Source organism: Homo sapiens, chromosome 6 (genome assembly GCF_000001405.40).
Source record: "Homo sapiens chromosome 6, GRCh38.p14 Primary Assembly".
NCBI classification, from domain to species: domain Eukaryota; kingdom Metazoa; phylum Chordata; class Mammalia; order Primates; family Hominidae; genus Homo; species Homo sapiens.
In genome coordinates this window covers 65,000,757-65,027,121 of record NC_000006.12, presented here as the reverse complement: position 1 = coordinate 65,027,121, position 26,365 = coordinate 65,000,757, and the positions used below count along the sequence as shown (strand labels likewise).

The 26,365-nt window shown below is 39.3% G+C and overlaps 1 protein-coding gene across 2 annotated transcripts in view, besides 1 other annotated feature; it reads left to right on the top strand.

Annotated features, from left to right (window-relative positions):
* The window catches only part of EYS (eyes shut homolog), a 1,987,247-nt gene that overhangs the window by 680,105 nt on the left and 1,280,777 nt on the right, over nt 1–26,365 (top strand). The gene's annotated exons all lie outside the window — the stretch shown is intronic.
* Nucleotides 20,002–20,581: an enhancer, noted in NCBI's record as "NANOG hESC enhancer chr6:65716434-65717013 (GRCh37/hg19 assembly coordinates)". NCBI's record gives its function as "activates a minimal SCP1, AML or CMV promoter by ChIP-STARR-seq in naive H9 embryonic stem cells {active_cell/tissue: H9 hESC(naive)}" and the evidence as "EXISTENCE:reporter gene assay evidence [ECO:0000049][PMID:30033119]".

Genomic DNA, 26,365 nt, shown 5'->3' with positions numbered 1-26,365 from the left:
CACAACTCTGAAACTACTTTACATGTAAAAGTAGAGTTCAGCAAGTAAGTAAATAAATTATAAATGGTAGCCAAGCTTCTCACTGTCAAAAAAAAAAAACACACATTACAAATAGGCAAGAGGAAGAGGAAAAGGGTAGAACAAATCATGTGGTGACTTTTTGACTGTTTAGAGTCAGAGATATCTGAATCTTTTTTTTTTTTTTGAGACGGAGTCTCACTCTGTCGCCCAGGCTGGAGTGCAATGGCACGATCTTGGCTCACTGCAACCTCTGCCTCCCGGATTCAAGCAATCCTCCTGCCTCAGCCTCCCAGGTAACTGGGATTACAGGCGCCCGCCACCACGCCCAGCTAATTTTTTGTATTTTTAGTAGAGACAGGGTTTCACTGTGTTAGCCAGGACAGTCTCGATCTCCTGACCTTGTGATCTGCCTGTCTCGGCCTCCCAAAGTGCTGGGATTACAGGAGAGAGCCACCATGCCCGGCCAATATCTGAATCTTTACTTGTTTCTTGACAGTATTTTCCAAAATGCTAGGTGGACTTTGGACTGTGCTCTCCTAATGCACCTTCTGACACAGGAAGGCAACGCAGGCCCATATAACATCCCCTCCCTTATTTGTAGCCCATTCATCTGTGCATAAATGCCTTCCTACATGTTTGTTTTATTTCTGGTCATACCCCTGGTCTTTTTTTCATGAGTCCCTTTGGCCTGGAATGCATTTCCTTCCTATTACTTTTATGCTTCTGTTAAGAAAGTTTAGAATTCAACAATTAACAACTCTAATTGTTAAATTCTAAACAATCTTCATTTAGTTATTTTCTGGAGAATGTCTACAGTGCAGTTCCAGCCTACAGTATTTAGAGCACCTGAATTAATTATGTTTGCCTAATAATAACCCTGTTTCATTTATGAAACTAACAGTGGATAGAGTTAATATAAACCATGTCATATTAGAAAGGCTATGTAAAGATTTCATAAATAAAATAAGCGACTGAAGAAGTCTTTTTCAATCTGTAAGAGAGGGACTGAAGAATTACTAGAAGATCATAGAAAAGTAATGACTGATGAAGAATGAGAGACACTGACACAGAATTGAATAAAAAAATACATATGGCAATTTAGAGTACTTTCAGACAGTTTATTAGGAATTTTGTATTTATGGACTGAGTTTTAAAATAAGCTCTTGTATGAGTGACTCACTGTATTAATCTTGAGAAAGTTGTGTGGAAGTTTCTCTGCCCTGGGGAGTTTTTTCTAATGGTCCTCCTTTGTATCCCAGTGTACCCTTTATAGAACATCATTAAAACACATATTTCTCTCACTGACAGACATCTGTTCTGTTACCTAAAATTCAAGATTCAGGAAGCAAGAAATTGTTTTGTTTTTCTTCCTCTTATTTATTTTTTTGAGATGATGTCTCACTCTGTTGCCCAGGCTGGAGGGCAGTGGGGCAATCTCAGCTCACTGCAACCTCTCCCTCCTGGGTTCAAACAGTTCTCGTGCCTCAGCCTCTTGCGCAGCTGGGATGAATGCATAGCTCTACCAGAGTACCAGTCTTATACCATGTTTCTTTACTGTTTATTTACTGAACAAAATAATTATTTTCAATCTTTTTACTGCTTGAATAACATATATTCTCTAAATGCATAAATGCAAATTAAATTTAATACAAAAACAGAGTTAAACATTTAGCATATCTCAAAGGATTCAGATTTATACATTCACTAAAATCCATTTGTTTAAAATCAATTCATTTTCATTATTGCAGAGATTTTAGTAGACATGATATGTGCATTTTGCTGTATTGTTTTAAGTGGGGTGATATGCAATTGCTCCAGTTTTGACATTAGCTGGTTGAAGTGTTTAATGTAATGGATTTGAGGGAAGTCAGAACTCTTAAAATCTGCTATAGCTAAGTATGGTTTATCAACTGTACACTTTTGTGGGTAATGCATATTGATTTTTAATTTTATGATAGGTACAAATATACTCTGTAAAGTCTATTGAATAATCTTTAAAATATTCAGAAGAGCACTTTTCTTGGAAATTTAAATGTGAATTAGCATTTCTCAAAATATAGTGATGTTTTTCATACATAAGAAGAGTTTCATTATATGAGAATAAGGTAGAGGTATTTATCTGCTTCTATTTGATTCAATTTTAGGCTTGTACCTAAATTCACTACCCTTAATCACCCTAGTTGTGGATTTATGCCATGAAATTGCTGAAACTAATCATTTGACTGATGATAGTCCTCAGTGAAAGCTTAGAGGTATAGCTGACCTTTTTCACGGTTATTTAAAAAAATCATTTTGAAGCACTCTCAAACAATATCAAATGTTAGTTCCTAGAACATAATATTTGGGATTTTTTTAAAGCTACATGAATATATTGCTTGCAAAGAATCTGAAGAATTAAACAATGGAATCATATTTATCAAAACCTATTATTTCCAACTTTTTGGCAACTTAGTGATTGAATAAAAAGCAAAAATGGAATTTATTTATATATGAAAATGCCTACAATATCTTCAAGTTAAACAAAAATACAATTTTGAAGAAGTAAACCACATTCGTGACGCATGAATTCTGAAAAACTGAAGCACATGGGCATTCTGAAGAACACTCAGCCCTGTAATGAGGTTGAATTCATAGATTCAGGGCCTGGACAGAAGCCTGGCTCCCCACAGACATCGCCCTGCATCTCCACTTCCTCAGGGAAGAATGGGAATGACTACAATACCTACTAAGGTTTTTCTGTGAGGATACAATGACTTGGTTATAGAAATCACTTAAAATAGTACCTGGGGTGTTTTAAGTTGTAAGGTTTTGCCATTTTTATGAATATTAAATCATGTCATTGCTATGAATGCTACTTAAATCTTGTGGGCCTCCTTCGTGAATAAAAGCTCCCTAGACATATGAGCACCAGCTATATTTTCATTGCATTGCTATATGTATTCACAATGATAGAAGTTTACAGAGGCTACAGATTTACATGAATTACTATTTTCTCAAGTTAAAGTTAGTTTTGTAAAAAGTGATGACAAAACCAGACCACCCAGAAGACTGAGGTTTGCTCTTGCTTTAAAGAAGAGGGCTATGGCATGTAGTAGGAGACTCCTTCCATCTTGACTAGTACGTTCTGTTTTCCAAACTTTTAACCTCACAAACCATTTTTTACTTGAAATCATTTAATTTATTGGACTGCTATGTATGATGTTTAACCTAGAATTTGAATTCAGCATCTTCTCTCAGCTTACTAGGTGGTGGTATATGAAGGGGCAAGTTACATCAACGTCTGTTTGACTACCCTACTGCCATTCCTACCTTATTATTGCCCTGCACTACACGTGCATACTTTCCTGTAAGACTGCTCTTGCGATTTCATGCTGCAAGCAAACCCGAGTCTCCTCTGTCTATGGAAGAAATTTCTGTGTCCACTTGTGCTGCTTCAACTGGTTTCAAAACTGGAAGGTCTCACTATAAAAGAGAGACTATTAAAAAATTCTAGTCCTTTTTCTTACTGCAAATTGTGGGAACTATGAATTTTTTCCTCTTTCTTCTCCCATTTTTCTTATTTTGGATTAACATATGTCAACGGCAGGAAATCCACAATTATCGCCACTTCAACAACAACAAAAACACAAAACAAACACTACAATGAAAACAATTTCAACAATTTTTCTCCCTTGAAGCCTAGCTTTTGAAATTAAAAATCTCTTTATATTTAGAGTATTATATCTGTTCCAGTGGTGGAGAAAAATAATCATTTGGAAATTCAATTGGATTTTTTTTTATTGCATGTGGTATCTGAACTTTTTCTGACACAAGCAATAAATAAGGTAACTGAGACTAACCAAGATTTAACAGTGACCGCAGTTAATATAATTAAAAAGATAATATTAACTTACTATAAGTTAATAGCTTTACTGAGATAAAATTCAATATTCAGTTGAGATATAATTCATAAAATTTACTGAAAGTAAATAGTTCAATGGATTTTAGGATATTCACAAACTTGTGCAACCCTCATCATCATAATCTAATAAGAACATCTCACCACCACCAAAATAAAAGCCATACCCATTAACAGTCCTCTCTTCCTACTGATCAACTTTCTTTCTTTATAAATTTTCCTATTCTGGACATGTAATATAAATGGAATTGTACAATATGTGGTCTTTTGTGACTGACTTCTTTCAAATTAATGTTAACAATTTCAATAGTATATAAAAACCTTGATACAACATATCTCTATATTCTCTCCCTCCCTCCATTGTACTATGTCATACAAATGATGTCTTTATGCATTATAAGTTTAACAATGAAGTTTTATAAATACTGACTTATGTAGATGCCTTTTAAATTAAATAGAAAAATAAAATTGTATTACATATATTGTATTTATGTTTAAAAAATAATATATATTAATATATAATATATTTAGTTTTATATATGTACTTCTTTTAAAATTTACCTGTGTATTACCTTTATCAATGCTCTTTATTTCCTTTTATGGATTCAAGTAACTGTCTTATGAGAGTTTATTTCAGCCAGAAGATTCCCTTTAGTATTCCTTGTAGGGTTGATCCACTGTCAATAAATTTGATCAGTTTTTGCTTATTTGGGAAGAGCTACAGAAAGAATAGAAATAGCCATAACAGCCTAGCCAAGATGTCATCATCAGTACTCCTCTTCCTGCTTAAAATCCACCTAACACCACCAATGCTACACCAGCTATTATTGTTACTATCGCAATAAGCATGCCTTCTGAAGCTTTCTTTTTATCCAATTAGATAAACTGGCATAATATGCCTCTTTTGGTAAGCCAGAGAGCAAATGGAGGAAGCATCTAGTCACCTGGGGTTCTGTAGCACTATGTAGGCAGTGGGATAAATAAGGTTAAAAATGATCTTTCAGCTAAGCACAGACTTAGGAGAAAAAAGAAATCCTCCACCAGAAAATCTGGATGCTAATGGATAGACGCTAGGCAGCTAAAACACACCATTATAGAAATTGAAGAAATATATGTTAAATTATTACTGATATGATTTGGCTGTGTTCCCACCCATATCTCATCTTGAATTGTAGTCCTCATAATTCCCACATGTTGTGGGAGGGACCCAGTGGGAGGTAATTGAATCATGGGGATTATTACCCCATGCTGCTGTTCTTGTAATAGTGAGTGAGTGAGTTCTCACAAGGTGTGATGATTTTATAAAGGGCTTTCCCCTCTTTTGCTCAGCAGTTCTCCTTACTGCCACTATGTAAAGAAGGATGTGTTTGCTTCTCCTTTTGCCATGACTGTAACTTTCCTGAGGCTCCCACAGCCATGCTGAACAGTGAGTCACTTAAACCTCTTTCCCTTTGAAATTACCCCAGTCTCAATTATGTCTTTATTAGCATGATGAGAATGTACTAGTACAGTAAACTGCTACTGGGTAATGAGGTGCTGCTCTAAAGATACCCGAAAATGTGGAATTGAGCTTGAAACTAGGTAACAGGCAGAGGCTGGAAGAGTTTTGATGGCTCAGAAAAAGACAGAAAAATGTGGGAACATTTGGAACTTCTTAGAGACATGAAGGAATCAGGAGACAGGAAGATGTGGGAAAGTTTGGAACTTCTGAGAGCCTTGTTGATTGGCTTTGACCAAAATGCTGATAGTGATATGGACAATAAAGTTGAGGCTGAGGTGGTCTCATATGGAGATGAGGAACTTGTTGGGAACTAGAGCAAAGGTGACACTTGTTATGCTTTAGCAAAGAGACTGATGGTATTTTGCCCCTGTCCTTGAGATCTGTGGAACTTTGAACTTGAGAGAGATGATTTAGGATATTTAGCAGAAGCAATTTCTAAGCAGCAAAGCATCCAAAAGGAAGCGGAGCATAAAAGTTTGGAAAATTTGCAGCAGCCTGATGATGCACTGGAAAATAAAAGCCAATTTTCTGGGGAGAAATTCAAACCAGCAGCAGAAATTTGCAAAAGTAATGAGGAGCAGAATGTTAATCACCAAGACAATGGGGAAAGTGTCTCTAGGACATGTCAGAGGCCTTCATGGCAGCCCCTCCCATCACAGGCTTGGAGATCTAAAAGGGAAAAATGGTTTGCTGGACTGGGTCCCGGGCCCCACTGCTGTGTGCAGCCTTGGGACTTGGTGCCCTGCATCCCAGCTGCTCCAGCCATAGCTAAAAAAGGGAAATGTACAGTTCAGGCTGTGGCTTCAGAGGGTGCAAGTCCCAAGCCTTGGCAGCTTCCATGTGGTGTTGGTCCTGCAGGCACTCAGAAGACAAGAATTGAGGTTTGGAAACCGCCACCTAGATTTCAGAGGATGTATGGAAACATCTGGATGTCCAGGCAGAGGTGGGCTTCATGGGTGGAGCCCTCACAGAGAACATCTGCTAGGGCAGTGCAGTAGGGAAATGTGGGGTTGGAGCCCCCACACAGAATCCCCACTGGAGCACTGCCTAGTAGAGCTGTGAGAAGAGAGCCACAGTCCTCCAGACCCAAGAATGGTAAATCCACTGACAGCTTGCACCGTGCCCCTGGAAAAGTAGCAGACACCCAATGCCAGCCTGTGAAAGCAGCTAGGATCGAGAGCCGTACCCTGCAAAACCACAGGGACAGAGCTGCCCAAAGCCATGGGATGTGATCTGGATGTGAGACATGGAGCAAAGGAGACCATTTTGGAACTTTAAGATTTAATGACTGCCCTATTGGATTTCAGACTTCCATGGGGCCTGTGGCCTCTATGTTTTGGTTAATTTCTCCCTTTTGAAATGGGTCCATTTACCCAATGCCTATACTCACATTGTATCTAGGAAGTAACTAACTTGCTTTTGATTTTACAGGCTCATAGGTAGAAGGGACTTGCCTTGTCTCAGATGAGACTTTGGATTGGACTTTTGAGTTAATGCTGGAATGAGTTAAGATGTTGGGGTACTATCGTAAGGGCATGATTGTGTTTTAAATTGTGAGGACATGAGATTTGGGAGGGGCCAGGGTAGAATGACATGGTTTGGCTGTCTCCCCACCCAAATCTCATCTTGAATTGTAGTTCCCATAATCCCCATGTGTTGTGAGAGGGTCCTGGTGTGAGGTAATTGAATCATGGGGGTGGGTTACTCTCTTGCCGTTCTCATGATAGTGACTGAGTTCTCATAAGATCTGATGATTTTATAAAGGGCTTTTCCCCATTTTGCTCGGCACTTCTTGCTGCCGCCATGTGAAGAGGGACATGTTTGTTTCCCCTTCTGCCACAATTGTTTCCTGAGGCCTCCCCAGCCACGTTGAACTGTGAATCAATTAATCCTCTTTCCTTTACAAATTACCCAGTCTCAGGGATGTCTTTATTGGCCTCATGAGAATGGACTAATACAATTACTAAGAGTTGGGTGCCTACCTGGAGTTAGAAATTTTGATTTTGAGATAATTCCTGTTGTCTTACCAGAAATAATCAGCAAGCTAGGCAAATGGACAGAGATAATGATATTAATGTCTTAAATTAATATGGTGCTTGGCAGGTACTTTTTGAAATGCTTAACATACCTTATGTCATTTATTTTGTACTACAAACCTATGAGTTGTGTGATGTTATTATCTCTATGTTAGGTATCAGAAATCAGAGGCATGGAAATGTCATATGCCTAAGATCACGTGTCTACTTAAGGATCAAGCAAGGGTTTGGATCCAAGCTCTTTGGAATGTTGTGTCCACATTGTTAGCCACACATTGTCTTGTGTGAATGGCTGAATTTTTATAAAATAGATATGACAGAAAAATAACAGGACAAGGATTTTGGAAGTGGCAGTGAGAGTGGTTTAAGAGATATAATGTTCAATTAAATATTTTTAGAAACGTGAGAAAAAATGTAAAAAGAATAAGAATGTTTAGTCTGTGCTTCTATGGTGGTACCTAGATTCACAAAAATTTTAATATAAAGAAATAATTTTCCTATTAGACTGAAATTATTATCAATGGGTTTATCTTAATCTAAACCATATGGTACCCAAAAATAAAATCCAAGTGGTGAAATCATCGGATTGATACAAAATATGGCACCCAGTCTTTCTCGTTCTACATTTATGCCACTTATTCTGGTCCCCATTTTGTGTTCATTGAGATAATCTTATAAGCTTTATTTTTATTTCTAGAATCCAAAATGATGTCATACAGTAAGGTCAATTTTTTTGTACCTATGATTTTTAAAATATTATTTAAGCTAAGATTGCAAAAAGCACAATCTAGCTATATTTAAACAACAACAACAATACAATTCAGAACTACTAAACAACAAGCAAACATATGCACACAGGGTATGCATATAGGCTTCACTAAAGGTAACCTTAGAGGAAATATGAGAAAGTTTTAGTAGAGAACAATTAGAAGAACATGGTCTTTTAAAAAAAAACTTCTAAACAAACAAACAAACCAAAAAACAAAAACCAACATACAGAAAAACCTCTTATGCTTCCTTCACATCAAAACACATTGTATTTGATTGAGTTGTGTCCTCCCAAAATTATATTGTTGTCCTAATTACTTAGCACTTTATTGTAATAATATTACCTTATTTGGAAATAGGATCAGTTCAGATGTAATTTGTTAAATTAAAATGAGGATATACTGGAGTAGGTGGGCCCTTAATCCAATATAACTGGTGTCCTTAACAAAAGGGAAAACTTAGACACAGACAAATATTGAGAGAGACCTTCATGTGAAGATAAAGGTAGAGATCAGGGTGATGCATCTACAACTACGGGATGCCAAAGATTGTCAGAAAAACACAGGAAGCTAGAGGAGAGACATGGAACACATTCTCTCTTACAGCCCTCAGAAGGAACCAACCCTGCCAAGACCTTGATCATGGACTTCTAGACTCCAGAATGGTCAAACACTAACTGTCTGTTGTTTAAGCCACCCAGTTTGTGGTGCTTTGATATGGTTGCCCTAGCATACCAATACATACATATATTACACATCTGTGAGAATGCAGTGTGTTTTTTTATCGATCACAGAAAAATAGACACAAGTACTCTCATTTCTAGTCAAAAGTAGAAGTATCTTTATTGGCATTCTCCACTTAAAGACCACCATAAATTCACCTGTCATTAGACAAACTTGAGTTTATTGGCTCCATACCATGAAGAATTTGGGAGCACTTTGTTAAGAGGGTTTCAACAGAGGCTTGAGATTCAAGCTTGGGTTTAGTGACTCTGGAGGTGGTTCCAGGAAGTTTGGCCTCTACTCTATGAGGTTACAAAGGGGAGTATTACGAAAATTGTTATCTAAAAGGTAATAACATTACCTATTACAAATAAAGCTAAAGCTTTAATTTGTAAAGAACTATAGAAGAGATAGGAAAGATGAATGTTAGCCATTTTGTGGTTTAGACAGCTTTATTGTTTTTGTCTGTGCTCAGATATGAGTGTGGAGTGATATTATTTTTATTTTGTTCCTTCATGAGCACAGACCTTGTCTGATTTTGGTGATCCATAAAATTGTTTACGCTCAAAAGAAAAGCACCAGGGTCCGATTATGCAGCCAGTCCAGCTTAGCTGATACTGGCGGGGCTGCTTTATTGACTCTCACTTTAATTACTCACAAAATATTTTACTAACATGAAGAAGTGATAAAAATCAATTCATTTGCTATTTAATGAGGTCAAGAAAGAACATACATGAACATGGATATTAATGTTTTATTTATTAATACTTGAAGGTATGCTTTTTAAAACAATAAAAAATTATTTAAAAGTGTAAGTCATAAATTTAAAATGAAAATAACTGACTTCATATGTTTGCATTCAACCTGGAAAGCGAATTTGCTTTCTCAGAGTAAAATAAGTACATTAATAATATATTCCAATTTATGACAATATTTGTAAAATGCATCTATAAGATTTGCCATTAGCATATTATTTCTAAAGGTTATGTGGAAAGTGGAGTTATTTCCATTGCTTTCTGTCTCACTAATCATTGTTAGATTTGAGAAGAAATTTGTCCAATGTAAATAGAGTCTAGGAAGCTGGGAGGGAATGGGATAGGGAGAGGGAAAAAATGATGTCTCCCCATAAAATTCATCACTCAGACTTCCTTGGTTTACATAAAATTTCTAGATGATAGATAGCAGCAACCATCTCTGGTCTTTTACAATGCACAAAATATCTACCACTTAATGTCCCTTAAAGATATACAATGTCCATTACCACTTAATGTCCCTTAAGGATATACAGTGTTAGCTAGATCTTCTGTTTAGTAAAAAGGACTGTCTTTTCATAGAACTTTAGTATATGAATAATGAGTTTTATGAAAATATAAAGAGAATTAGGACTTATCTTTAATATGTTGAGGTATGCTCCATAAAGAACTGTTTTCCTGCTATATGTCCTTTGATATTACTGCAGAAACAGAATTTATACTGTCCAGTCTAATCTTTTCATGTTTTTATTGCTGATTATTGAAGTTGGATGACTTGATTCTACTTTATTTAACTTTATAGTGGATTTCACTAAAGACTTCTGTAATTTACATATCCTACATGATGCCTCTTGCACAGAAAGATTATCTCCACCCTATTATTTACTCACTTTTTAACTATGTTTCTCTAAATATCTGAATTTTTGTTATCACTTTAAACATTTTAAACAGCAGATTTTAAGTTTATCTAAATCATGAGAAACTAAAATTCAAGCTACTAGACTCATATGAAGACATGCTTAGCATTTTCACATTTTTGTAAACATCTATATCCACTTACAGCTCTTAAAACTGCAATGTTCTTTAAGAAGTTTAACATATGAACATATGAAGTTTATCATAATGAACTTGATATCAAAAGTCATCCATACATTTGAAAGTAACGTACTAGTTTGATGCAAATTTCAATTAGAGGAAAAATATATATATACTTTTTTTTTTTAGTAGAAACGAGGTTTCACCATGTTATCCAAGCGGGTCTTGAGCTCCTAACCTCGGGTGATTTGTCCACCTCGGCCTCCCAAAGTGCTGGGATTACAGGTGTGAGCCATGGCGCCTGTTTTTTTTTTTTTCTTTTTCTTTTCTTTTCTTTCTTTTTTTGATGTGGAGTCTCGCTCTGCTGCCAGCCTGGATTGCAGTGGCACAATCTCAGCTCCCTGCAACATCTGCCTCCTGGGTTCAAGAAATTCTCCTGCCTCAGCCTCCTGAGTAGCTGGGACTACATGGGTGCGCTACCATGCCCAGCTAATTTTTTTTTTTTTTTTTTTTTTTTTAGTAGAGACGAGGTTTCACCATGTTGGCCAGGATGGTCTCAGTCTCTTGACCTCATGATCCATCGACCTCCGCCTCCCAAAGTGCTGGGATTACAGATGTGAGCCACTGCACCCGGTGGTACAATTTCAGTGGGAACCTCAGCATTTTTTATTTTCTGAATTGATGACATCATTGTAAAAAACTAATAAAAAACAGGTTTTTAATTTTTCCTACCAAATATGTATGCAGATAAAATGTGCCTTAGCTTCTTAACATTAATTTAAGAGAATATAGTTTTCAGCAAAATAAAACTTCAAAGAAATAAAGCAGCATTATATATATTTTTAGATACAACTAAGAAATACAATACAATGTGATTCTCTGTAAGGAGACCAACCATACTTTATTCCATTTTTAGGAAAGCTTTCAACAGTTCCTCAATGCACACCAGGTTTATGTTCTATAGATCACAAAGACTTGTAGGATCTTGTCCCAGCCTATGGAGATGTTATTTCAAATTAGTGAACTTCATTTAACACATCCCAATTTTCATCACAAATTAGCGTGATAACTAACACATTACATATTAACACAAGCATCTTTGAAATTGGGATGAGTTTTTCACAATAGTGATGTCTTAAATACTTTATCAGAATTTAACTGGCAGTTTTTGCTCTCTTTATTAGTTTCCTATAATGGCTGTAACTAATTTTCACAAACTTAAAACTGCACAAGTTTATTATTTTATATATTTGGAGGCCAAAGTCTAAAATGAGGTAGGTATTGCAGGGTTGTGTTGCTTCTGAAGACTTCTATTTTCTTGCCTTTACTAGATTCTAGAGGCTGCCTTTGTTCCTGGGCTCATGACCCCTTCCTTGCATCAATCCAAACTCCAGCTTTCATCTTCATGTCACCTTCCTCCTTTAAACTTCTTGCCTCTCTCTTATAAAGGCCCTTGGAAGACCCTTATGATTATAGTTAGGGCCTACCCAGATAAAATAGGATAAGCTTACCACAACAAAATCCTCAACTTAATCAAATCTGCAAATTCTTATTGGCCACATAAGATAGCACTCGCAGGTTTCCAGAATTAGGAGCTGGATATCTTCAACAGGGAGGTAGTGAAGGGAGTGGGAGGGCATCATTTTTTCTACCATGCTACCCTTAATGGCACATAAAATAAACTCCCTTAAAATCGATGGCATATTATAATTCCTTAAATGTGGTAATGCATCTCCTTCTTCCCTGTATTTTGTGTTCCATTCATATTGATTTGTTTTCAATCTCCTGAACTTTCTCATCTTCTGGCCCTCATCCTTCTAGAAAACTCTCCCCATCCCCTTCTGTATCCCACATGCCTAACCTCGATAATGTGTGATGATTCCTTAGGGCTCACTCCAAATATCACCTGTTCAGTAGGCTTTCCAATAGCACTGAAGATGTCTTAGTGGCCCTTATATTTGACTGTATTACTTTTCTGTGCTGAATAACAACTTATCACAAGCTTATAGATTTAATACAAGTCACATTTTTTATTTTACAATTTCTGCAAGTCAAAAATCTGTGAATGGTTTAACTGAGTTCTCTACTCATGGTCTCACAAGACTGAAATCAAAAGGTTGGCCAGGACTGTGAGCTAATCTAAGGCTCACGTTTCTCTTCCAAGCTCACTGGCTGTTGGTAAAATTTACTTCCTTGTGATTTTAGAACTCTGGTCTTTCTTTCTTACTGGCTGTCTAGAGTGTTCTTGGCTGCTGCAAACCAGATGCCATTCCCTATCTCATAGAGCTTTATAAAACACAGCTTTCATTTGCTTCTTTGAGGCAAGTAGGATAATGCCTCTGACTTCTTTTAAAGTCTTACCTGATTTAGTCAGACCCACTCAAGATAATGTGTCTTTTGATGGACTCCCTTATGATTCTGGGACTTAATTATATCCACAATCTTTTCTTCCATATAAAGTAAACAATTACGGAGTGACATTCAATCATATTCACATATCTTACCCACATTGATTTATTTACTTAAGAGAGAGAGTCTCACTGTTTCCCAGGCTGAAATGCAGTGGCTCAATCACAGCTTGCTGCAGACTTGACCTCCCAAGCTCAAGTGATCCTTCCATCTTAGCCTCCCAAGTAGTAGCTGGGACTATAGGTGTGCCTATCACCATCTCTTCACCACCTCTAGGGGTCTCACTATGTTGCTGAAACTAGTCTCAAACTTCTGGCCTCAAACAATCCTCCCACCTTGGCCTCCCAAAGTCCTGGGAATACAGTTGTGAGCCACTGCACCCAGCCTCACCCACATTTAAAGTGAGGGAATTACATGGGGTATGTACACTAGTGGTGGGGATCTTGGAAACCATATTGGAATTCTACTTACATAATGACTCTTTAGCAAGGAAATTGATCATGTTTACCACTTATTGCACCGATTTACTTGCCTATTTGAACCCATCATTGTTCTTTTAAACACCTGCCCCCCACCTCCCGCGTCTAGCACAGTGCTTGCCACAGGACAAGGGCTCATTACATATTAGTATAATGAATTCATGTACAAATCAACATGATATGGGGGTACAGTGAATTCATGTGTGTTCTGCAAAAGAAAATATCATGAGTATTTTCTCATATACATTGTTGTTCAGCTATGTAATAGATTATAATATACAAAATTATTTACAAAGCAACAGCTAAATTAACTTCCCACTAGCAAAACAAAACACCTAGTGTCACAATTAAATATTTAGCAGTAGGTAATTAGAAAGAAAGGGTATGCATGGGAACTTTTCATTAAAGACAATTCATTTTTTCTGCATGAGTAGATGTTTGTTCAATGCAATTTCCATTATTTCACAAAAACTTTGATTATGATAAAATAGTATCCAGAAATGTATTACTTATAATACATTTCAATCTCATAATAGTTTCAGAAAAAGATCTTGTTTCTATTTGAATTCTCTATACTACTAAGCATTGCTATTGCAAAAAGTAGCCACTTGATAGATTTTTTTTTATTGAAGGAAATTTTTATTTTTATGTTCTTGTGAAGTAGTTTTTTTTCATTTTTTTTTTTTTTTTGCTGTACTTGGAAAGTGAAGTCCTGAGCATCTCCATTTTGGTACAGTTTTATTGCTCTTATTTTATGGACACTAATGATATCAATTTGCTGCCTTTACTCTACAGATTGCTGATATCCTCAGCAGCTTCTAGGCAGTCCCCCTTACTATTTTTCTTGTGGTCAGAACTGGGAGAATCACAGGGACACTTGGCTTTTGTAATTTCTCAAACAACTATAGTACTTCTCAACTTTGAAACCTTTATCCCTTATCCTAAGTCTTTGTGTTATACCTTTATCCCTGTAGTTGTGAAATTACTGAGAAAACCCAAGCAGTTCAAGGACTTAATGATGACTGTATATTTTCTGCTTTAAAGTATTCAGCCAGGCGTTTTTAGAACCTATGTTTGTACCTATGTACTGTACATTTTAGTGAATAAGTAGCCTTATTTTTAAGTACTTTCCAAATAGGTAACATGTAAATATTTTTACTATGCCTTGAAAACTGACACTCAAATAATAATGTTGCTTTGTTGAAAAAGTTTGTGCTGCTTATACTGTGCTTTTTGTCTGATATGGTTTCTCTTGAATCAAATAATCCTATTTCTTAAATACTTGTGTACATTTCACACAATGGCAACCACTTTATATAATTACATTTTCTGAGTAAAATATAAAAAATTTTTCAGGATTGAAGTATTTCTATTAAGATTAGATGTTTATTACAATGTTCTTTTTCCATCATTTACTTGTTTTGAGAATAGCAACAAATCCTTCAAACAGAGCTTACAGTGATAGCAACCTCCAGGGTACCAGAAAGAAAATATAGGGAGCATCAAATTGTTAATAATCTACTTTCTTTTTTTTGCTGTTGCAAGATTTAATAGAGTGAAAACAGAGCTCCCATACAAAGGGAGGCGACCCAAAGGGGGTTGCCATTGCCAGCTCGAATGCCTGGGTTTATATCCCGATCATTGTCCCTCCCGCTGTGCTCTCGGGCAACAGATGATTGGCTATTTCTTTACCTCCTGTTGTTGCCTAATTAGCATTTTAGTGAGCTCTCCTTACTATCTGATTGGTCGTGTGTGAATTAAGTTGCAAGCCTCTTGTTTAAAGGTGGAAGCGGTCACCTTCCCAGCTAGGCTTAGGGATTCTTAGTCGGCCTAGGAAATCCAGCTAGTTCTGTCTCTCAGTTCCCCCTCTCAACAGGAAATCCCAAGAGCTGTTGGGGAGATTGTCCGATGACTGCCCTAACTGCTTCCTGCTGAACTGGGGCATAGTAGGGGTTGTGCAGTTGAGATTTCCTCGGGAGGGGTGTCTTCAATGTCATTAACTTCAGAGCATGGGCTAGCTGGTCAGTCCAGGGGTCTGCGGTAGACCTTAGTCATGGACTGCATTTGGGGCTCCATTTGAAGAACGATTTGTAGTTTTAGAGCTTCTATTCTGGAAGAGACAAACTTAACAAGGAGGTTAAAGATACAGGGATTGAAATGTATGGCCTGCAATGCAGGGGATTATTTCTTTGGCACACCTCACAGGCCCTGACTATCTGCTTGATAGTTTTGAAAAGGCCCGGTCCAGTAAATAATAATTTGGCCATCTGATCGGTGCTATCTATGCCTAAGTGAAAGGTTTGGTGAAGGGTTTTAAGTAATTTCCATTGGTTAGCTGCAGGCAACAGTATTTCTCCTTCTTCAGTGGCTAGCCATCCTGAGGGGAGAAAACTATGTCCTTGTGAGGTTCCCCATTCTACTTCTCCTGCTGAGTATTGGGGCTTGGTTTCCCGGAGGGGATTACCCCATACTAGGGATCCTTCTATAAGCATTTCTAATGGAGGGTCCTGCCTTGTGGCTCTTTTGGCTTCAATATCCGCTTGGCGGTTCTCTTCTATTTTCCTTTCCTTTCCTTTCTGATGACCCCAGCAGTGTAAGACAGCCACCTCTTTAGGTTTCTATACAGCCAATAATAATCTCCTAATGGCTTCCTGATGTTTGATAGGTGTTCCCTCGGAAGTTAGGAATTCCCTTTCTCTCCATATTGCTGCATGGGCATGGAGGACTAGGTAAGCATACTTAGATTCTGTGTATATATTTACCCTTTTTCCTTCTCCTAATTTTAGTGCCTGAGTGAGGGCTATTAGTTCTGCCAGCTGAGCACTAGTTCCTGCAGTGAAGGGATTACTTTCAAGTATTCCATTATCACTGACCACTGCATACCTCGCTTTTCAAAGTCCTTTTTCTACAAAGGAACTTCCATCAGTACACAAGTTAAGGTCGGGATCAGTCAAGGGAACCTCTAAAATGTCCCCTCAAGTGGCGTATGTTTGAGCAATTACTTGTTGACAGTTATGTTCTATCTTTTCTTCATTGTCTGGAAGAAATGTGGCTGGGTTAAGAGTTGCACAAGTGCGCAGTCGCAGCACTGGCCCTTCAAGTAATAGAGCCTGATATTTAAGTAAATGGTTGTCTGACAGCCACAAGTCTCCTTTAGCAGTTAGTATGCCATTCACATCATGGATGTCCACACAGTAAGATCCCTGTATTATTTTAACTGCTTCAGATACTAAGCCTGCTACTGCTGCCACTACCTGTAAACCATGAGGCCAACCCTTGCCACTACATCAGTTTCCTTACTCAGGTATGCCACAGGTTGCAAGCTTGTCCCTCGGACCTGTGTAAGGACTCCTAGAGCTATTCCTGTTCTTTTCTGTGACATATAAAGTCAAGTCTTGCCCCATTGACAAGCTTAACACTGGGGCTTGGGTTAGGGCCTTCTTTAGGGCCTGGAAAGCCACTTCTGATTCAGGTGTCCATCTTACTAAATGGGTATTGGATTTCTGAGTTTCCTTAATTAGTGTATATAATGGTCTGGCTATTTTGCCATACCTAGGAATCCATATTCGGCAGAAACCTGTTATGCCAAGGAACCTCTTAGTTGCTTTAGGGTTTTGGGATGAGGATAAGCCAGTATAGGCAGGATACATTCCTGACTGAGGGCCCTGGTGCCTTTGGATGATTTTAGCCCTAAGTATTTAAACTGCTGTGAGCAGAGCTGAGCCTTTTGTTTGGAAACCTTGTAGCCACAGGTAGCGAGGAAATGTAAGAGCTCTTGGGTGGCTTGATGGCACAAGGTTTCTGAAAGGGCAGCTAAAAGTAAATCATCCATGTACCAAAGGACAAGAGTGTCCAGGTATGAGAATTGACTCAAGTCTTGGGCTAATGCCTAATAGATGGGGGCTATCTCTGAACCCTTGGGGTAAAACAGTCCAGGTGAGTTGAGACGTTGGGTTTGAAGGCTCTTCAAAGGCAACCAAGAATTGATAGTCAGGATGTACAGGGATGCAGAAAAAGACATCCTTAAGGTCCAGGACTGTAAACCACTCTGCTTCCTCCGGTATTTGGGAAAGCAGAGTATAAGGGCTAGGTACAGCTGGGTATAGAGGGACAATGGCATCATTGATAGCCCTGAGATGTTACACTAATCTCTATTATCCATGGGGTTTCTTTACTCCTAAAATTGGAATACTGCAGGGGCTATTGCATGGTTTTACTAGGCCTTGGGCTTTTAGGTCCTTAATTTTTTGGAGTTCTTGTTGGGCCTCAGGTCTAAGGGGGTACTGCCTTTGGTAGGGAAAGGAGGTGGGATCCCTTAGTTTTACTTGAACAGGATGGGCATTCTTTGCTCGTCTATATTGTCCTTCTGTTGCCTAGACTTTAGGATTAATTCCTTCCTCAAGCAGGGGACAACCAACGGGTGTTCCTTCTCCTATGTTCACGTGTATAATGGCCCCTGCTTTTGCTAGAATGTCTCTCCCTAACAAGGGATTGGGGCTTTCAGGCATAATTAGAAAAGCATGTGAAAAGAGTAAAGCGCCCCATCACAGCTTAGTGGCTGGGAGAAGTATCTAGTGACTGGCTGTCCTAGGACCCCCTCGGATAGTGACAGATCTGGAGGACAGTTGTCCAAGACAGGAGAGTAAGACTGAGAAGGCCGCACCGGTGTCCAGGAGACAGTTAACCTCCTGGCCCTCAATGGTCAAGCATACCTGGGGCTCTGTGAGGGTGATGGCATGGGCTGGCGCTTGCCCCAGGCACCCTCAGTCCTGCTGGTGGATCATCTGGTTAGTGGCTTCTGACTCAGAGGACCTTCGTCCCTTGGGGCAGTGGGCCTTCCAGTGATTCCCTTGACATAAGGGGTATGGACAAGGGGGCAGCTTACTTCTACTTGGACAATCTTTTTTAAAGTGTCTTTGTAGACTGCACTGGAAGCAAGGCCTATTAGGCATTCAATTTTCCCAGCTTTTCCCTTTTCCAGAGCCTCCGAAGTCCGCTTGCCTGAGGGCCATGACTAAAGCGGTAGCCTTTTTTTTTATCCCATTTGTCCTGTTCCACCTGCTCCTCCTGATCTCTTTTATAAAAAACCAAGGTTGCCACGTTCAATAGGGTTTCTAAGTTTTGCTCCGGGCCTATGGCAGACTTTTGAAGTTTTTTTTTCTAATGTCTGCAGCTGATTGAGTGATAAATTTATCCTTTAAGATTAGTTGGCCTTCAATAGAATCAGGTGAGAGAGGTATGCTTCCTCAACGCCTCCCTTAGTCTCTCCAGAAAGGCGGTAGGATTTTCTTCCTTTCCCCGTGTTATAGTGGACATCATTGAATAATTCATAGTCTTCCTAGTTTTCCTTAGTCCTTCTAGCACGCAAGTTAGCAAATGTTTGTGGCACCAATCTCCATGTTCTGAGTCTGTGTCCCAGTGAGGGCCTATACTGGGAACTGCCTGCTGGCCTGTGGGGAATCATTCTTTTTCCTCTGTTGTCATCCTATCATTGACCTGACTGATATACCAGAGATCACCAAACTCTCGGGCTGCAGTTATGGTGGCACTTCTCTCATTTGGGGTTAGTGTCTGATTTAGCAGTAACATTATATCTCTCCATGTCAGATCAAAGGATTGCCCTAACTCTTGTAAAACATCAATATAGCCATCAGGGTTATCTGAGAATTTACCTAGGTCTATTTTAATTTGCTTTAAGTCTGAGAAAGAAAAAAGTACATGCACGCTGGCTGGGCCGAATTCTCCTCCTCCCACCGCTTGGAGGGGGCATAATTGGGGAACATTGGCACTCTTTGGTTAATTGTTTATTTATCTCCTTTTGGACCGTTTGGGTTGAAGGGGGGTCCTTATTCATTGGGGAAAGAGTTAGGGGGACACTGGGGTAGGGAGGTAGACTGAGGGCTTCCTGTAGGGCATAAATCACACTTTTTACATAATTGCCAGTTGTCTCTTAATGAAAAGAAAGTTTGTACATATGGCACTTCACTCCATTTGCCTTTTTCCTACAAAACAGGTCTAGCTGTAAGATGGTGTTATAATTTATACTTCCCTCAGGAGGCCAGGTTTCTCCCCCCTTGAAGAGGGTATAGTGGCCAGGCGGTACTGCAGAAGAATATAAGTCATTTCTTTCTTAGCGTCTGAGGGTCAAATTGGTCTTAATTCTCCAGAATACATCTTAGGGGCATTTTTGCCTTGGGGGAAATGTTTCCCATCTGATAAAAGGACATAGGGATGCCAGCACCCCTAGTCATTTTCCGATGAGCATTAGTCCTAGAGCATCCTCTATGGTCCTAATGCTTATTCCTTTCTAGGTGCGTAACCACCCATGGACCTCTGCTTATCTGATTAGTTACACTCACCTATGTAGCAGTCCTGCATCTGTTTTACCCGCCTCTCTTGACCACAAAAAAAGGGATCCAGGATGCTGGATTCTAGTGGTCCTTTACCAGCATGCCTAACATTGCCTTTGCACTCAGGGTGAGTCCTAGAGCTGGGCTGGGTTTCTGAGTATTTCACAACAACCCAGCTGCCCCATCAAGATGCATTCTTGTAAACAACAGTTCTTATGCAAATTCATTTCAGAGAGGGTGTAGCAAAACTTTTGAGTCTGGATTGAGATAGTCTTTTGATTCTGTAAGTACTTTAAGGCTTGGCTGAGTGCAAACAGTTTGCACCTTTGAGGAGACCAATTATTAGGCAATTTTTCTAACTCTGCTTCCACAAAAGTCTCCTTATCAATTACTGAATACCCATTGTGGTTTTTTCCTCAATCACCTGGGAGGAACCATCTATCATCCTGTCCTGAAGGGAGTTCCTCCTAGCTCTGGTCGGACCTTTGTATGGTAATTAAGATTTAAATCCCCCATTAGGAAATCTGCTGGGTTAAGGGAATTATCAGTGGTTGGAGTTACATTAGCTTTTTCTAACATAATAGCCCCATACTTTAATATTTTTGAGTTAGAAAGCTACCTTTTTGCTTTTTTTTTTTTTTTTTTTTGACTTAGAATAACTCTGAACTGGTGAGGTGTGCTCACAACGAGGTTTCCTCTAAAAGTTACTTTTCTACTTTTAGTGAAGCAGTTGTCCCTACCGACTGACTGAATGCATTTGGCCCATCTGTGGGTTACTGGGTTAAGGATTTGCTAAGCCCTTATTTACACTGACAACAAAGTGGCAATTATCAATTACAGGTTTTAAATTTACCCTGGCTTTTAAATGAATAGGGAACACTTTTTTTTTTTAACTATTAATATCTTTTTCTTTCTTTTTCTCTTTGACTCCCTTTTTGTCTCTCTCTCCGTCTCTCTCTCTTAGCCATTACAAACTTGGGGCCCTGGCACAGGTGGTGGGGAACGGGTCCCACGTAACTGCCCATGTAGACAGCTGTATACCTAAATCAGGAGGGATAACAGGGATAAGACTCCCTGGGTTATAGCCTAGGTGCCTAAGGACACAGTGTAGAGCCTCCTTAGATCCCTTTGGAGATACAACTTGCTAGAAGAAATGAAAGTCTGAACCATTAGTACCTAGGAGGCAGGGATCAGAGGAAGTAGATTCAGAGGTAAGGAGAATTTTGGGGCTACACTTTCAAAAAAGTCGTGGTCGGGACCCAGGAGGTGTGGGTCAGAAGGAAAGGTAGGGGTGCACGCATGGGCGACTGCTGGGTAGAGACTTCTGGCTGTGCCATGATCTTAACCGGCTACTGCCGGGAGTTCGGGACAGCTGCTTTCTACCTCTAGTCGGTCCTCAGCTTCTCCAAGAAAATTGAAAGTGGAAGCTGGCTCCAGGCAGATCAACATCCCCAATAGAAGGGTCGGGGGTTGTTAGAAAGCCCTTCCCCAGATAGCCTCACACCTAAGTCTTAAGTCCAGCGGCCATGCTAATCGTTTTTAACTGGCGGACAGGTGCCCGGTATTTTCCTCCAGTTCTAAGGAAGGATAGGACAGAATAGCAAGCGAAAGTGGTCCAACATTACCACTTTGGAGGTCCCTTCGTGGTCGCCAAAATGTTACCGGGTGGTCCTTGCTCACAGAGGTCCCAAGATGGCGGTGACCCGCTTCCAAGATGGTGGCAAGCCTTGTGTTCTCTGACCTGGGGCTCTTGGCCTCACGGATTCCGAGGAATGGAATCTTGGGCCATGCGGTAAGTGTTATAGCTCTATTAGAAGCCGTGGGTCATGGAAGAGAACCGTGGAACCCAGTGACTAGCGTTCAGCTCGATTAGGATGAACGCAGGCACTTAGCCGTGCAGGAACAATGGCAAGCCTTTAGCCCGATCGGGAGTGGCAATGGGCGCCTCGCTGGATCAGGAGCACAGCGGACATCCTGCCAGATCTCAAGGGATGGAAGTCAGCAGCTGGTCTGCAACAGTGGCAAACAGCAGTGGTGGACGGCAAGCGAAAGCTCAGCTCAAGCCATAACAAACATAGACCAGAAGAGTGCAGTTGCAAGATTTAACAGAGTGAAAACAGAGCTCCCATGCAAAGGGAGGGGACCCAAAGGGGGTTGCCCAATAATCTACTTTCTTAATTGCAATGTCTTCAGAGAACATTGTTGAACAAGAAGTGGGAAGTATGAAGAAACAAAATATAATTTTTAAAAATGCTGTCACTTATCATTGCTACCTGCTGGTACTTTGTTAGATGAAGCATAGAAATCATAAATAACATTTCTTTCTTAAATTGTAATGTAGAGGGAAAGGGAGAGAGAGAGAGAGTCACAATGATAATATGGAAGAGAATAGAGAATAAATTGGATGCCTTTATGCTGAAATATGCCAGGTGAATGACAGCAGTTGTAAGAATTGGTTCATTCAATAAGCATTGGCACTTTGATTCTTTCTTTTCCAAGTTATCACTGTGAATTTGGACCTTGCAAAGCTAGTGATTCTTGTGAGAATGGAGCTGTGCGTGGAGAGAAAATGGATTTGGAAATGTTTCCCCTTGAGTTCCGGTGCCAGTGTGCCAGCTTTTCAGGTCCACGCTGTGAGATCAATGTCAATGAGTGCAGTTCCAGCCCTTGCCTGCATGGATATTGCTATGACAGTGAGTTCCTTCAGCGGCTGCAATTATTGTAGAGCAGACCATTGTAGAATGTAACATAGTAATGGGAGAGTTTAGGATATAACCATGATTATTTACTGACTTTAGCCTGGCTTGAACATCAAAGTCAATGTCAGTTATCTTCACTAAGTACCCCCAATTTCTGACAAATTCATTTATATTTTTGTGAGTCACAAGTGCAGCGAATGAGGAAATCTAATGAAATGTGACTTTTCCTTTCTAGTGTCAGAATTAACCTTTGCAATTTTATTTGAAATGGTAGAATTTTTAAAAATATTCACCCTTAGGCATGAGAAAGCATTGTTTACAGTATTCAAAATAACATTAGTTTAGCCTATTTTATACATATATCACCCCACACACTCACACTTCTTCCTACTGAAATTTATATTCCTAAAAAAATATAAATTTATAGAGGAAAAAGACAGGAAGAAAAGAAGGAAAGAGGGAAAAGTAAGATGGAAACATGGATTTTTCTGTGGAAGAACATGCCTAAAATGGGTAATTTTGTTGAGACACAGAAAACGAAATGACATTATATACAGAATGTGGCTGAGGCATAAAAAGGAGAAACAGAAATAAACAAAGGTCTAGAAGGGTGTTGCAAAAAACTATCTTATTTGGTTTTATCTCACCTCCTTTAAAATATATTTCTACATGATCCCTCAGTATCAGGTAACCTGCCCTGATATTCACGTAGGTTCTTTTCTATTTTCCTTAAGTGCCGGCCGGCTTGAGAAATAAAGGGACAGAGTACAAAAGAGAGAAATTTTAAAGCTGGGCATCCGGGGGAGACATCCCATGTTGGTAGGTTCTGTGATGCCCCACAAGACACAAAACCCAGCAAGTTTTTATTAGGGAGTTTCAAAAGGGGAGGGAGTGTGCGAATAGGTGTGGGTCACAGACATCAAGTACTTTACAAGGTAATAGAATATCACAAGGCAAGTGGAGGCAGGGCAAGATCACAGGACCACAGGACTGAGGTGAAATTAAAATTGCTAATGAAGTTTCGGGCACCATTTCGTTGATAACATCTTATCAGGAGACAGGGTTTTGAGAGCAACCGGTCTGACCAAAATTTATTAGGCAGGAATTTCCTCTTTCTAATAAGCCTGGGAGTGCTGTGGGAGACTGGGGTCTATTTCACGCCTGCAGTCTCAACCATAAGAGATGGCCACGCCCAGGGGGGCCAGTTCAGAGACCCACCCCCAGGTGCACATTCTCTTTCTCAGGGATGTTCCTTGCTGAGAAAAAGAATTCAGCTATATTTCTCCCATTTGCTTTTGAAAGAAGAGAAATATGGCTCTGTTCTGCCCAGCTCACCGGCGGTCAGAGTTCAAGGTTATCTCTCTTGTTTCCTAAACATTGCTGTTATCCTGTTCTTTTTTCAAGGTGCCCAGATTTCATATTGCTCAAACACACATGCTGTACAATTTGTGCAGTTAATGCAATTATTACAGGGTCCTGAGGCGATATACATCCTCCTCAGCTGACAGGATTAAGAGATTGAAGTAAAGACAGGCATAGGAAATCACTAGGATATTGATTGGGGAAGTGATAATTGTCCATGAAATCTTTACAATTTATGTTTAGAGATTGCAGTAAAGACAGGCATAAGAAATTATAAAAGTATTAATTTGGGGAACTAATAAATGTCCATGAAATCTTCACAATCTACGTTCTTCTGCCATGGCTTCAGCCGGTCCCTCTGTTTGGGGTCCCTGACTTCCCACAACACCTCAATATATGAATAAATAGTTAAAATTACATATAAAACCTCATTTCAATAGAAAGTTATGTTATTGTCTTTTTATTTAGAAACAGTAGGATTTAACTCAAATTTTAAATTTGTTTCTCAAAACAAGTGCTGTGCAAATAAAAGCCAATATCAAGGCAATTGAATTTTGTAAATTGGGTGAAGCCACCCAGATATAAAAGAACCCAGATATAAAAGGTAGTGGTGGGGCCCTAGCAAACTGAAATATCTGTATAGATACTAATATCACGTTAATTTTCTAACATTGTGCCAGCTGAGCAAAACAGTTCTGTGGACTATATGCCATATTTTTGCTGCTCTTGATATAAATCACCAAGTTATTATTTTTGTTCCAGATTTTGGCACTTCCAAGATTGTATTTTAAAATTTCTGAAATTCTCAAATTACCTTGAAGTAAGTCAGTATTGTATCATTTCTGAGCTCAAACCCACAGGTGTCTGGTGAGGAATGATACTTAAAAAAGATTCATGTCATTTTAAAATATCGCATGGCTGAGAGAGAAGTTAGAGATTTTTTGTTTTTGAAATATGTAGGCAGCCCTACTATAATGATTATAATAGACAATTTAAATTTAAATTGTTCACATTGATTAACAATGTATTATATTTGACTTTTAAAAGTTCTTCATAAATATTTTAATATATGATTTTTTCTAAGATATGAAAATGCAATTTATAATGTTACTTATAATGCAATACTACCTATTAAAATTTTGAAACCATAATATATTATGGGAAATGTAAAATTTGAATACTTAATATATTAATGTATTTCATAATATAATCATTCATAATATATTTTGGACCCCATCTAAGGATATTTAGCTACCAGGCAACCAAAATATTTATTAAAATTTATATCACACATGTAGAATGTTATCAGAATGAAACTAAGACACTAGATTCTTCATACTTTCTCTGAAATAAAATGGTTTGGGAAGCTAAACTTCCTGAATTCTAGTTAATAGTAATACAGACAGAAGACACGGAAATACTGGGTAGAAGAAGGTACAAGATGCCCTGGCAAAGGCCGCATCCTCAAGCCTGGATACCCGTAGCCATAAATGAGAACAGGCATTCCTGTTTTTCCACCCAAAAAGTTGCCTTTTGGCTTGCCATGCTCCCTAGCCCGTACCCAGATAAATGCTGAACCTCAGACTCCAGAGTGAACCGGAAGTTGAAGAGGTAAGACAGGCAGACCAACGGACTCTTCCGCAGAGAAAGAGAGAAGAGGAGGAACATCTGAATACCAAGAGGAGTTTGGGAGTGGTCAGAGAGGAGTTTGGCCACTGTGCGGCCCAACTCCAGGGGAAGATTATCTTCCCACTCCATCCCCTGCTTTCACTTCCCCATCCATCCTGCTGAGAGCCACCTCCACCACTCAAGATCTCTCATTCAACCTTCAAGCCCATGTGTGACCCGAATCTTCCGGGACGCTAGGCAAGAGCTCAGGATACAGATAGCTATCATACTGGCCTTCTGCCCTTGTGAAAAGGCAGAGGGTCCATTCAGCTGGTTAACCCTTAAAGCCATCTGCGGACAGCAAGGCTGAGAGCATTGTAACACTGGGGTTGCAGGCATCCACCCCTAGACACTACCACAGGTCCAGAGCCCAAAGCACTCGCCCTGGCCTCTGCACCTGCCTATCTGCGTGGTCCCCCTCCCTCAAGGGGTTTCAGCAGCTGCGGCAACTGAGCAGGCCAGCCACACCCCTGTCGCATGTCCTGCGAGAGGGATCAGGGAACTCTAGCATGTCAATAGTATTTATTACAGGACAATATATGAGAAATCACTGCATATATGTGTGTGTTTGTGTGTGAGTCTGTAAATCTTGAACACCATTATACGGTTGTTCACCATTTTGTTGTTACAGGTTTGTTTGTTTTTTAATGGAGTCTTGCTCTGTC